This window comes from Homo sapiens, chromosome 4 (genome assembly GCF_000001405.40).
Source record: "Homo sapiens chromosome 4, GRCh38.p14 Primary Assembly".
NCBI classification, from domain to species: Eukaryota; Metazoa; Chordata; class Mammalia; order Primates; family Hominidae; genus Homo; species Homo sapiens.
This window is the reverse complement of record NC_000004.12, coordinates 37,830,389-37,843,204: the sequence shown is the minus strand read 5'-3', so window position 1 is coordinate 37,843,204 and position 12,816 is coordinate 37,830,389. Positions and strand designations below refer to the sequence as shown.

At 40.6% G+C, this 12,816-nt stretch overlaps 1 protein-coding gene across 2 annotated transcripts in view; it reads right to left on the bottom strand.

Moving 5' to 3' along the window:
• The window catches only part of PGM2 (phosphoglucomutase 2), a 36,252-nt gene that overhangs the window by 19,733 nt on the left and 3,703 nt on the right, over positions 1-12,816 (bottom strand). Inside the window, exons 3-6 of one of the 2 annotated variants that reach the window (NM_018290.4) lie at positions 8,481-8,587; positions 5,592-5,676; positions 3,274-3,357; positions 2,946-3,139 (exon numbers count right to left, since the gene is read on the bottom strand). In NM_018290.4, coding sequence (NP_060760.2) covers positions 2,946-3,139; positions 3,274-3,357; positions 5,592-5,676; positions 8,481-8,587 — 470 coding nt within the window. Of the gene's footprint in view, positions 1-2,945; positions 3,140-3,273; positions 3,358-3,521; positions 3,633-5,591; positions 5,677-8,480; positions 8,588-12,816 lie in introns of those variants that run through there. The other variant, XM_047415895.1, reaches the window with a different exon arrangement.

The window sequence follows — 12,816 nt, the reverse complement described above, 5'->3', positions numbered from 1 at the left end:
AATAGAGAGTTCAGAAGTTGATCTAATTTGAAATGGGAGATGAACACAGAAGTAATAATGCTGAGTGGTTAACACGCTCTGGAGTCAGACTCTGAATTTAAATCCTGGAGCTTTGCCATCTATAAGCTGTGTGACTGCTGGCTATTAACCACTCTTCCTTGTAGTTTTTTCATCTATAACATGCATGATAATATACCAGAATTTACTGGCATTACTCTGAGGATTAAATGAAATTACATGTTGACCGGGCACAGTGGCTCACTCCTCTAATCCTAGCACTTTGGGAGGCCGAGGCGGGTGGATTGCTTGAGCTCAGGAATACGAGACCAGCCTGGGCAACATGGTGAAACCCTATCTCTACAAAAAAATACAAAAAATTAGCAGAGCATGGTGGTGCACACCTGCAGTACCAGCTACTCAGAGGGCTGAGGCAGGAGCATTCCCTGAATCTGGGAGGTCAAGGCCGCAGTGAGCCAAGATCATGCCACTGCACTGCAGCCTGGGTGACAATGTGAGAACCTGTCTCAAAAAAAAAAGAAAAAAAATGACATGTGAAGGGCCTCCAGCAGTTATCTGATATATAATAAGCACTTGATTAATGTTAGAAATTGTTGCATAAAGGTGACCTTTCCAATTAGTCAAAAAAGAAAAAAAAGAAAGATTCTTCCATTGATGTTGGTACAACTGCAAACCTTTTAGAAAAAAATCTAATCTGCTTTCCTACTTCATGCCCCATATAAAATTAAAAATCACTAATGAAACAAAAGATTTAAATATTATAAAACACAAACATGATAGTTCTAGAGAAAGAACAAGGGAAATATTTTGCTATTACTTTAATAATTTTGCTATAGAGCATGTCTTCCTAAGCATGACATAAAACCCAGAAGCTATAAAATAAGACTAATAAATATTATACAGATTTTTAAACAGTTCAGCAAACAGTTTCAATAGAAAATTCCAAAGACAACAGAAAACATCTAAAAAATATATTTTATATATATAGTATATGCATATATGTATATATAATATGTATATATGTATATATATTATAAACAAAGATGTTTATAAATATAAAAGGTGAACAAACACATAGAAAATATAGGTTAATTAAAGAATACAAATAAAAGTGAGCTATTACTTTCAACTAGCAAATCAGGAAAAATGAGAAATTGGATCACAGAGCAGGAGGAAATGTAGGTATCATATGCTGTCAACATCTACTGTTGGTGGGAGCACCAACTGGTATATTTTTGGAGGTCAATTTGCTAAGCACTATCAACTTTGTGAATGCACATACAATTTTGATGCCAGAAAGTTACCTTACGGATACACATGCGCACACACATGCACGTGCATGCACGCGCGCACACACCCACACACATACTCAAGCAACTGTGCACAAGGGGAGTTAACTCCCAAGCTACCTGGAGTGGAAAAGCAGAAATGCCTCATTCTTCGTGAAGTTAAATCAGAGGGGCAGAGGGAAAGTTCACAGACGTATTTTGTCTGGACTACACACCATTGGAAAAAATGGTCCAACACGTAGGAATTAGGAGATTTCACACACAAAATCCAGGTTTCCAGTTATTTTGGGAAGAGGAGAACTCAGATGATCTGGCAACTGGGACCTATATTTTCATGTGGGCAACACTCAGCTGGCACGGCTGCTCCCTTCAGGCAGGACTGGGCTTTCATACTCTGCACTGGAGTGGGCACCATCAGCTGATCCAACAAATACAGTATCAAAGACAAACCTACAAGTTCAGTTTCTTTGAATCAGTGGTTTCTTGCTAGGGGGACAATCAGGAGGGGTGGGACCTACAGCATACTCAAGCAGACACTACTGTCACTCTGCTACACCTCTTCCTACCTGATGGTAAGGACTGAGTCTGTGTCACTGAGTTAAATACACCGGTGCAGCAGCCTTTAAGACAGAAAGTCAGGACTAATAGGGACTAACACAGGAAGGTGTCCATGACAAATTAATTGGGGGGAAAAGTGCACAGAACAAACCACACACACACACACACACACACACACACAAATATTCCTATTTATGGTTTTGAAGTATATTATACATATACAAACACACACACACACATATATATATATATATATATATATATATACGCTTGCATATGCACAGAAAATTTTTGGAAAGATAGAAAAATACCAGTGTTTGCTATTCAAGACTTTTGAGCAAGTTTTAAAAACATACATATATATATATATATATACACACACACACACACACTTACATGTATGAATATGTATGAATCACATACATGTATGGAATCTATAACAGGTCAGCAAACTATGGCCTATGGGCAAGCCACCCACTTCTGTCTGCACTCCTTCGCCGACATTTCATCTATGATGGCTTTTGTACTAAAACAGCAGAGTTGAGTAGCTGAGAAAGAGTCTGTGTGGACCTCAAAGCCAAAAATATTTACTATCTGTCCCTTTAAGAAAAGTTTGCCAAGGCTTGATCTACAGCCTCTAAAATCAGATGCAGCTGGGTGGGCGTGGTGGCTCATACCTGTAATCTCAGCACTTTGGGAGGCCAAGGTGGGTGGATCACTTGAGGCCAGGAGTTCAAGACTAGCCTGGCCAACATGCCAACACCTTGTCTCTACTAAAAATACAAAAAAATTAGCTGGGTGCAGTGGCTCACGCCTGTGATACCAGCTACTTGGGAGGCTGAGGCACAAGAATCGCTTGAACCCAGAAGGCAGAGGTTGTAGTGAGCCAAATCGTGCCACTGCACTCCAGCCTGGGTGACACAGTGAGACCCTGTCTCAAAATAAGTAAATAAAATAAAATAAAATCAGATGCAGCTGTAGTACATGAGCAAATTAAAGAGAAAAACTTCACAAACACTAATAGAATTTGGCTGAATCACATTAACTCACTTAAGGTCAGTGAAGACACAATTCATTTACCTGTGGAAACAGTACTTTTTAAGGTCTTCAAAGTAGTCATTATTGATGGAAGCACTCGGATTGTGGAGAAGTGGACTGCTATCAATTAAAGAATCGTCCCAAGCTTGAGGCCACGGTTCTAGATTTTCTTCAATAGCTTGAGAAATCCCTTTATCGTGAGGAGAAATGATCTGAGCTCCATTATCCCAATAGACCTAGAGGACCCAGGAACACATTCAGAAGGTTTACAGTTAATGGAAATAAGGCACCTATTACCTATGGTCCCAAAAATTACAGATACAGGATTCCTACAGAAGGATGTACGTGTGGAGTAGAAAAAGGAAAATACCTTATAACCATTATCCTGCTTTGGATTGTGAGATGCAGTTATCATGATTCCAGCACAAAGTTTCAAATGTGATACTGTGAAGGGCTGTAACATAGCAGGAAACAAGAACAAACAGTTTTTAACGAAAATAACCAGATATTCTTAAAATGTCTATTTTATACTGTTCATGCCAACTTGCTCCCTTTTAATAAACATAATATATAAATAGCATAATATTTTTGAGCCACACCCCAGCAGTATGCAATTACCCTTAGAATTAACTGGCTGCTCATAATTCCAGGATGTATTTCCTAATAAGAAAGGTGAGTAATTTCCTCAGTGCCTTCTCATTCCATCTTCTACTTGGTAGAGCTAGAAAATTCTTCAAACACAACGATGGTCTAAGCCTCCATTCCAATGCTTTCAATGCTTCTACCTGAGACAGAAGTTTGTGGATTCAGTTTACTCCCTCCAACTGCTTCTCCCTCTCCTCCTTTCTCATTTGCTTTTAAGGAAAACATTGAGGAAAACACTGAGGGGCCAGGGGTGGTGTCTCACGCCTGTAATCCCACCACTTTGAGAGGCCAAGACAGGTGGATCACTTGAGGTCAGGAGTTCAAGACCAGCCTGGCCAACATGGTGAAACCCTGTCTCTACTAAAAATACAAAAAAATTAGCCAGGCATGGGCGCCTGTAATCTCAGCTACTTGGGAGGCTGAGGCAGAAGAATCACTTGAACCTGGGAGGCAGAGGTTGCAGTGAGCCAAGATCCTGCCATTGCACTCCAGCCTGGGAGACAAGAGCGAAACTCTGTCTCAAAAAAAAAAAAAAAAAAAAAAAATTTGAGGGAATGGAGAATGCTCTTACAGGTTCCTCATTTATCTCTCACTCCAGGGTTAAATATTTATATTTCAACTTAGCTCCCATCTCTACTACTTCCCAAAATGGGAGAAGGGGTTGGATTATTCCCCCTACTGTGGCAAATGACATTGATTACACACAGGCAACCTGAGATTTAAATTGTCCGTCCCCTCCACCCTTTCACCAAGAATCACTGCAGTCATTGAACACCCTGGAAGTTATGTCACATCTCTCAGGTGTTCTGGGCCAAAGAAAAGGGGAGGACGACTCCTCAGTGTGGGCAGAGGATCATGATACACTGGTTCAATTCATGTCTGACATAAAATTAATAGCTATTAACACTTAGTACAGAAGGTAATTAGGATGCTTGAATACATGACAATTTTTCCATCAAACAATGAAACCTGAACTACATTTAGATGTGAATAGAGTGTCTAGCAGGTTATTTACAGCCTAGGGGTGCTGCATCTACCTGTCAGTGCACTAGAGCCGGCAAACACAAAATGAATTGGAACCTCCTTCTGTAGCAATACAGTCTCATTTCTACTAGATGTGACTAACTGCATCCAAATCACATTTTCCAAAACATATTCTCAGCATCTGGCCCAGCTCTTAAAAGTTTTGTCTATGTCAAAGCAACAACTGTCATAGTCCCTACTGTCTTCTTCTTTAGATTGTGCTACATGAAGGATTTGATGAAAGTCTTACTCAAATATGCCGAGCATGCTCTCTGTACTAGCCATGAATAGTATTTAGAATAAAACATTTGTATAAAACAGGGGTGTGCCAGCTTGTCAAAAATATTCATGACAAGACAGGGTTTGAGGTGAATTCAGATTTCGACACAAGAAGTTTCCTAATTGTGATAGCTGAGAAAAAGAACTACAAACCAAATTTAAAAACAGAGAAAAGGCCGGGCGTGGTGGCTCATGCCTGTAATCCCAGCACTTCCGGAGGCCAAGCTGGGTGGATCACCTGAGGCCAGGAGTTCGAGACTAGCGTGGCCAACGTGGTGAAACCTCGTCGCTACTAAAAATGCAAAAATTAGCTGGGAGTGATGGCAGGCACCTGTAATACCAGCTACTTGGGAGGCTGAGGTAGTAGAATTGCTTGAACCCGGGACACGGAGGTTGCAGTGAGCCAAGATCGTACCATTGCACTCCAGCCTGGGCAACAGAGCGAGACTCTGTCTCAAAAAAAAAAATTTGCTGACTCTCTCGAATACCCTTAGAATGCAAAGAAAAGGAAAACTGCAATTTAAAAAAACCAATTCCAATGAATCAAAAGTTGAATACCAGAGAAATATTACTAAGATGTGGGAGAAACATTCCAGGAGAGAAGGAAATGTCTCATACATGCCAAGGAACTCCTCTGTCATTCAAACAGTCCAATCCCAATAGCCCTAAAGACTATAAAATTCAGCCAAGTCCCATCCCTGATCATGTGACAGGAAATTATGAAAGGAAATGGCTACTTACCACAAAGGGGGTTGGCGTTATATCAGAAAAGAGGTACACAGGAATCCCCTGACTGATAAATGTGGTTGCAGCAAGTCGGGCAAACCTGAGAATGCAGAGTGACAGGGAAGAAAAGGAGAGTTGAGTGATCAGGACTGTGAGTGATGGAAAGAAGGAAATGAATGCTGAATGTTCTTTAGGGTGAATGCAGCATCCAGATCAAGGACAGCATTTATTATAATCTTTACCCTGGCATGGGACAGTAAAGCTGGAGGACTCTCAGGAGTCATCTCATTTCACTCTTTTGTTTTATAGAAATGGCACTAAAGCCAAGAAAGGTCAGGCCCCTTTCCCCGGTTCTAACAGCCACTTAGTGGCAGAGCCAGGCTGCTTCCTGGCCTTTCAGCTCTCTGTCTATCTCAGTGGTTCTCAGCCAGGGCAAGTCTGCACCTTCTCCTTCCAGGCATCTGAAATGTCTCGAAACATTTTTGCTTGTCATGCTGGGAAATGGAGAGAGTTGCTACTGGCAGCTAGTAGGGAGAGGTCAGGGGTGCTGCTGAACACCTTACAATGTACCCTACAACCACAACAAAAGATCATCCAGCCACTGTGCAGTCACATGTCAACAGTGCAGAGGCTGAAAATCCCAGCCTAAGCCTATCACAATCCAGCGTACACCACACAGACTGGAATTTGATTAGAGATTGCTTTATTTGAAATATAAAGACATCCTGGAGTACGCATGTGTGTATACACACACACACACACACACCCATACACATATATACATCTTGGTTCCAATCAGCCTTTGAAAGAAAACTTAATTCTTTGACATTTTTCTCAACTTCCACAGAAACTTGCTTAGGGTAAGACGCAGAAAATGGCATCAAATCTTCCTTCAAGCTGGTGTAAAATACGTTACCACAAATAAATGAGCGATTTACTTAGAATGAACAACATTATACCACCCCTGTGAGTTAAACAATCAGATCATTCTTACTCTCCCCAAATACTTCTTGGGCACTAGCTTCGCCGACACTATTCTGAAGGCTGGCTGGGGCACAAAGAGCAGATCGCCACTCTCTCTCTCTGTTACAAATGTGCACAAAAAAATGCAATGCGTTCTCTGCATATACTTAACAGTTACTGCTTACGTTCCCCACCAGATATTTAAAATTGGAAGATTAAAGGATAAACATCTCCTCGGGCGAAATTCAGAAACTGCAATAGTTTCCAACTCCTTACGAAGATTCCATTCACTCATCATGAATATTTTACCATGTGTTGGTTAAACACTTACATTATGATCTCTAAATGTCTCACGCGTTACAGGTGATAGAGAGTAGCCTTGAGTTCCACTCCATCCCATCCCATCAAACTCTGAGACTTGAACCATAAGCTTAAATCAGTAACATCACTCACTTTAAGGAAATGATACGGCTCCAAGGCCAGGGCAAAAAAATCTGTACCTTAATTGATAATGTTAACATATCTCTGAAGGTTGTATCAACCAGAAGCAGGGCAGTCAGCCCAAAATGAAGAAATTTACGCAGCTCAGCAGACAGACTTAGCCACATACGTGCACTTTGCATGCTCTGAGCAAAGGATCTGACTTGCCCTGGGGCGGCAGAGGAACACGGTCACGATTTAGTTCTGATTGTACATCCACTAACTGTAAATGACAAGCTGATATGCTGGTTTATACCACATCATTCTCTTGTGAATGTAGTTCATGTGCATCTATCCCCCAGAGCTATAACTTTTCTCTTGCTTTATTGACAAAAAGCACATTTTTGAGCTGCAAAGCTAAAGACTAAAAATCTTATGCCCTCCTGAGTTGAACCTGGGGCTGATGCCACCGGGTGATTTTCCCCGGCTATGCACCCTTCCTCACGGCCACACGTTTGTCCCCACGAGTGCTTCTGTCTTAGATTGGAAGCTCCTGATGGGCAAAGATAGGACTCTATAAACTCATCCAGCTCTGTAAAGCTAATAAGACTTTTCATTAATATTCAATATGTGTAATTCTAAGCTACTACTAATACTGATACTCTAGAATGATTAAAAATTCATCATAACAGAGGAAGTGTTCAAGTAAAAAAGAGGGTTATGTAACATGGTTACGGGCAGGGGTTGGTAACTACAGCCCATTTTGTAAGTAAAGTTTTACTGGAACACTGCCATGCTCCTGTGTTTATGCATTGTCGATGGATGTTTCTCTGCTTCATGGGAGAGGTGAGTAGTGGTGATGGGAATCATGTGATATGCAATGTGTATGATATCCACTATTTGCCCTTTAGAGAAAAAGTTTGCTGACCCCTGGTACTAGTGTCCTTAGGCTTAAATTGCGACTCCTCCTTTCACATTATAATCTCAGGGTAAAGAGATAAAAGTACATACCTTACACGTTGCTGTGAGGATAGAATGAGTAAATACATAAGTGTCTGGTTCATAATCAGCACTCAAATGATTGCTGCTATTACTATTATCATTGTCACCATCAGCATCATATGCCTTCAGCTACATAAGAGAGTCCCATTGGTTTGAGAATGTTTCAGAAATGCAGCTTGACGTGGGCGTTCAAGAGAGGGAAGGGGGTCATGAGGTTTATGAATAGCAGGGTAAAAATTATGTATAAAAAGGCAAATGAGAGGGAAAAATAATATTGCCAGTTTAAGAAATTTCTTTCTTTTAGCTAGGTATTACATTCTAAATTGTCTAAATAATTTTATTTCCTTAACCTAATGTAAAACCAGAATCTTTAAAAGTTGCCAAGAGAATTTACCCATTGTTTTTACAGTTAAGCAATGAGGCTAATGAATATATTAAAGTCAAGTTATTGAGATGGTGATTAAAATAAAACTGCAAAATAAATTATAAAAACATCATTTTGTAAAAATGTTTAAATACCTTCTGCTGCTACCCCCACTGGATGGATGAGCTCGGGCGTCAAAACTGATCACGATGCCTTTCTGCTTTAAGTCACTGAATTGTTTTTCCAGGTATCTGCAAAATCCCTACAAATACACCATAGATTTAAAAAGTATGTTTTAACATATTTTTATATATACCATATAGAAAAATTAGCCAAAAATTAAGTTTTCTCAAATTTCATAGAACACTATGGGAGAGAGGGAAAAATTCATCTCAGTAAGGAAGCAAACTGAACAATAATAAAATAACAGCTTTGTTTATTATCTATGTTTTTGTATTGGGCACTGTGTTAGTCATTGATCACTTAGTAGCTGTTATCTCTAACCTCAGATCAACTTTGTTAGGAAATTTTTTTTTTTTTCCAGAGACAGGGTCTTGCTCTGTTGCCTAGGCTGGAGTTGCAATGGCACAATCATAGTTCACTGCAACCTTGAATTCCTGGGTTTAAGCAATCCCCCCCTACCTCAGCCTCCTGAGAAGCTAGGACCACAGGTGCATGCTACCAGGCCCAACTAATTTTTAAAAATTTTTTGTAGAGACAGGGTCTTGCAATGTTGCCCAGGTTGGTCTTGAACTACTGTCAAATAATCCTCCTGTCTTGACCTCCCAAAATGCTGGGATTACAGGTGTGGGCCACTGCACCTGACCAGAAAACCCATTTTATAGATGGGTAAAATAAGCCTCAGAGAGGCACAGTGACAGTTTCAGATATTCGAGTAGCAGAGCCTGGATTTGTATCCAGGGCTGGTGAGAGGTAGTTCAGTGTAGGGCTTAAAAGCACATACTCTAGAAGCACAATCTGAGAATTTGTACTCCACGCTGCCACCTACAAGCAAATGACAAGTTCCTTAATTTCTTGGTGCCTTAGTTTCCTCTTCTGTAAAACAGGAATAACAATAATACCTACCTCATAAGGAGTAAATGAATGAAAACATGCAAAGTGCTGAGAATTCAACACCAACTAAGTACTATATTAAGTGTTTGCTGTTTTACGCATTATTTTTGTTGTTATTTTCCTTCAAAGCCATATAAAACAAAGAGAACTCTGGTTGATTGGGCAAAAATAATGATTCATTTTATATTATTTATTTCACTTTTGCTAAAGGAAGTCTTATTAAAATATACATAACTCTTTTTCTTTTGAGATGGGGTCTCACTCTCTCCCATGCTGGAGTGCAGTGACACGATCATGGTTCACTGCAGCCTCAATCTCTCAGGCTCAAGTAATCCTCTCACCTCAGCCTCCTGAGGTGCTGGGACTACAGGCACATGCTACCATGTCTGGCTAATTTTTAAAAAACAATTTTTGTAGAGATGGGATCTTGCCATATTGCCCAGGCTGGTTTCAATCTTGTGGGCTCAAGCAATCCTCCTGCCTTGGCCTCCTAAAGTGCTCGGATTACAGGCATGAGCCACCATGTCCAAGCCATAATTTTTATTTTGGGTAGGAGGGGATACATCACAGTCTTGTTGCGAGAGCCAAGCTAATTTAGAATGCCTTTAGCTTTTCCTTGACAAATACATTGCACTGGGATTATCTTCTGAGGCTGAGTGATACAAGGAAATAAGGCCATGTGTATTGGTTTTGTGGGTTCCCCAGAAGGTACCCAGATGCCTGATACTTCAAGACTTACAACAGTGACAGTACCCCTCTTCCTGCTCAACCCTTGAGCTGTGGCCCCAATGCTCCATGGGGCAAAAAAGCATTCACATCTCCAGATTCTCTAAAAATCTCGGAGGCCTGCTGAGGATGAGGACCTGAAAGAATGGCCAAGGGAAAAGGGAATTCTTATTCTAGATGAAAGACTCAGTGGGGGAAGAGGGAGGTTTTCAGAAATAAAATGTTATTATAAAACATAAGAAGCAAGTTTATGTGTATGACCTTCAAAAAGTAGAACTAAGACCAATATGTAAAGTCTACAGAAAGGCAGATTTTGGCTTAAAATAATGAAACCATCTTTTAATGAGAATGGTCCAAAGATAGAATGGCCTCTTTCAGAGGACAGTGAGTTTCCCATCACTGGTATGCTATGGCTAAATTAAATAATCTATGAACACAGAACCCAAAATAGAACATAAATAAAGCATAAATTAATTGGCAGGAGGAAATTATAACCTCTATCAATGAGGCAAACAATACAAAAGTTTCCTCCAGTCTCTGTCCTGTTTCCTTTGACATATTTTTGAATCACATACATCTGCTTCTTAAATGAACCAGGCAAACTTTGGGGTACCTCAGAATGAGGCTCCACACCCAGAGACCAGCAGGAAGGGCACCTATGCCACCATGAAAGTCTGATCAGTGAAAAGTGACAAATATATTTGCATATCAGCATTCTGCCAGGGAACACTACCCAAGACTGGGTAGAAACCTGGGTTGTTTGTTCTGGGAATCCTCTTGCCTCTAATTTTGAATCCACTCCTAAGATTTTAAAGATATACTTGCTGCTCAGATAAAACTTTCTTAACTCTTCACATCTCTGTCTCCTATTACAAGTATCCAAGAATAGGCTGAATGAGCACTTCAGAGTGGTGGGGTCATGGAGAAAATTATCCCAAGGGGTGTCTGGTTGAATTACATGACCTTTAGAATATTGATCATCTATGTTTACCACAGGGTTTACCCCCAGAGGAGATGAATTCTAGGATAAAAATGGGTAAGATAGTCCTTAATGGGAATACATTTCATTATTCTCAGAAACTAGATATAGAAAAATACAGGGGAAAAAGCTCTAGGTTAATCTAGAATCCCTTAGAAACCCCTAACAATTAGGCCCAATGGCAGGTGTAACCAACTGGATTGTCCAAAGATGGCCCCAGTAATATAAGCCATCTCACATGTTCCTCTTACAATGTGACATCAATGCTCCTTTAATGAGAAGTGGGTATCTATGTGCCCTCTCCTTGAATATGAGACAGCCTTATTGACTCACTTTTAACAAACCGAATACGGTAGAAGTGACACTGTGTGACTTTCAAAGCTACGTCATAAAAGTCAGCACAGCTTCCAATTGGCACATTCTCTCTCTCTCCCTCTCTGGATACTTCACTGAAAGCCAACCACCATGTTATAAGGAAGTCCAGGCCACATGAAGGGGTTCCAACCCCAGCTAAGATCCCAGCCAATAGCCAGTAATAATTTCAGACGTGTGAATGAAGGTGCCTTCAAATGATTCCAACCTCCAAACTGGCCCAGATGGTGCTGAGTGGAGCAGAGACAAGCTGTCCCCACTGAGTTCTACCAAAATTGCAGATTTGTGAGCAAAATAAATGTGGTTGTTGTTTTAAACCATTATGTTTTCAATGATTTGTTACATAGCCCTAGTAACTGGTACAGAAGGCAACCTTATTCAGCAGCACAGTTCCTATGTTATCCATGAACCAAACAGGATTCCCATACTTACCCCATTCTAAGTCTTTCCTCCAGCATCTCAGGGAGCCCTATTGCTTAATAACAATTTGTGACCAGGAGTTCCCATGGCAATTCTTTTTTTTTTTTTTTTTTTTTGAGACAGAGTCTTGCTCTGTTGCCCAGGCTGGAGTCCAGTGGCACAATGTCGGCTCACTACGACCTTGCCTTCCGGGTTCAAACAATCCTTCTGTCTCAGCCTCCCAAGAAGCTGGAATTACAGGTGCACACCACCACGCCTGGCTAATTTTTGTATTTTTGGTAGAGACAGGGTTTCACCATGTTGCTCAGGCTGGTCATGAACTCCTAGGCTCAAGTGATCTGCCTGGCTCAGCCTCCCAAAGTGCTGGGATTACAGGTGTGAGCCATCGCGCCTGGCCCCTGTGGTAATTCTATACCCTTAGATAAGCTTTCCTTGTTGGAGTTTTGTTACAACATGCCCAGCTCTGCCTTTTACACTGGGATGTATACGTGAGGCACATGTAATCACTATTAGGCAATTTTTTCTAGCCTTTCTTTTCCCACAATTAAAGTGACATTCATCATCAACAGGTCTAAGGTGAAGAAATACTGATGTGAATAATCTGTTCTATTTCATTTCCCTCATAAACAGTACTGCCAATACCCAGTAGAAGCACTTCTGTTTTGTCAAATTATCTCCTTCCTAAAAGCTGGGTCTAGATTCTGACAAAAATATTCACAAATTAAGACAGACTCAATCCATACTATAAAACAAAGGAGAACAGGCTCTTGGTAACTCCGGCAGTTAGAAAAGCTTTTTAGCACTTGCTATGTAATCATGGCAAAAATTACAGGACCTTAAAAGTTGTCAGCTTAGTTGGTGCATTTATACTGGAATGAAAGCTCCATGAGAGAATCTGTTTGTTCGAGTCATTCTTATAT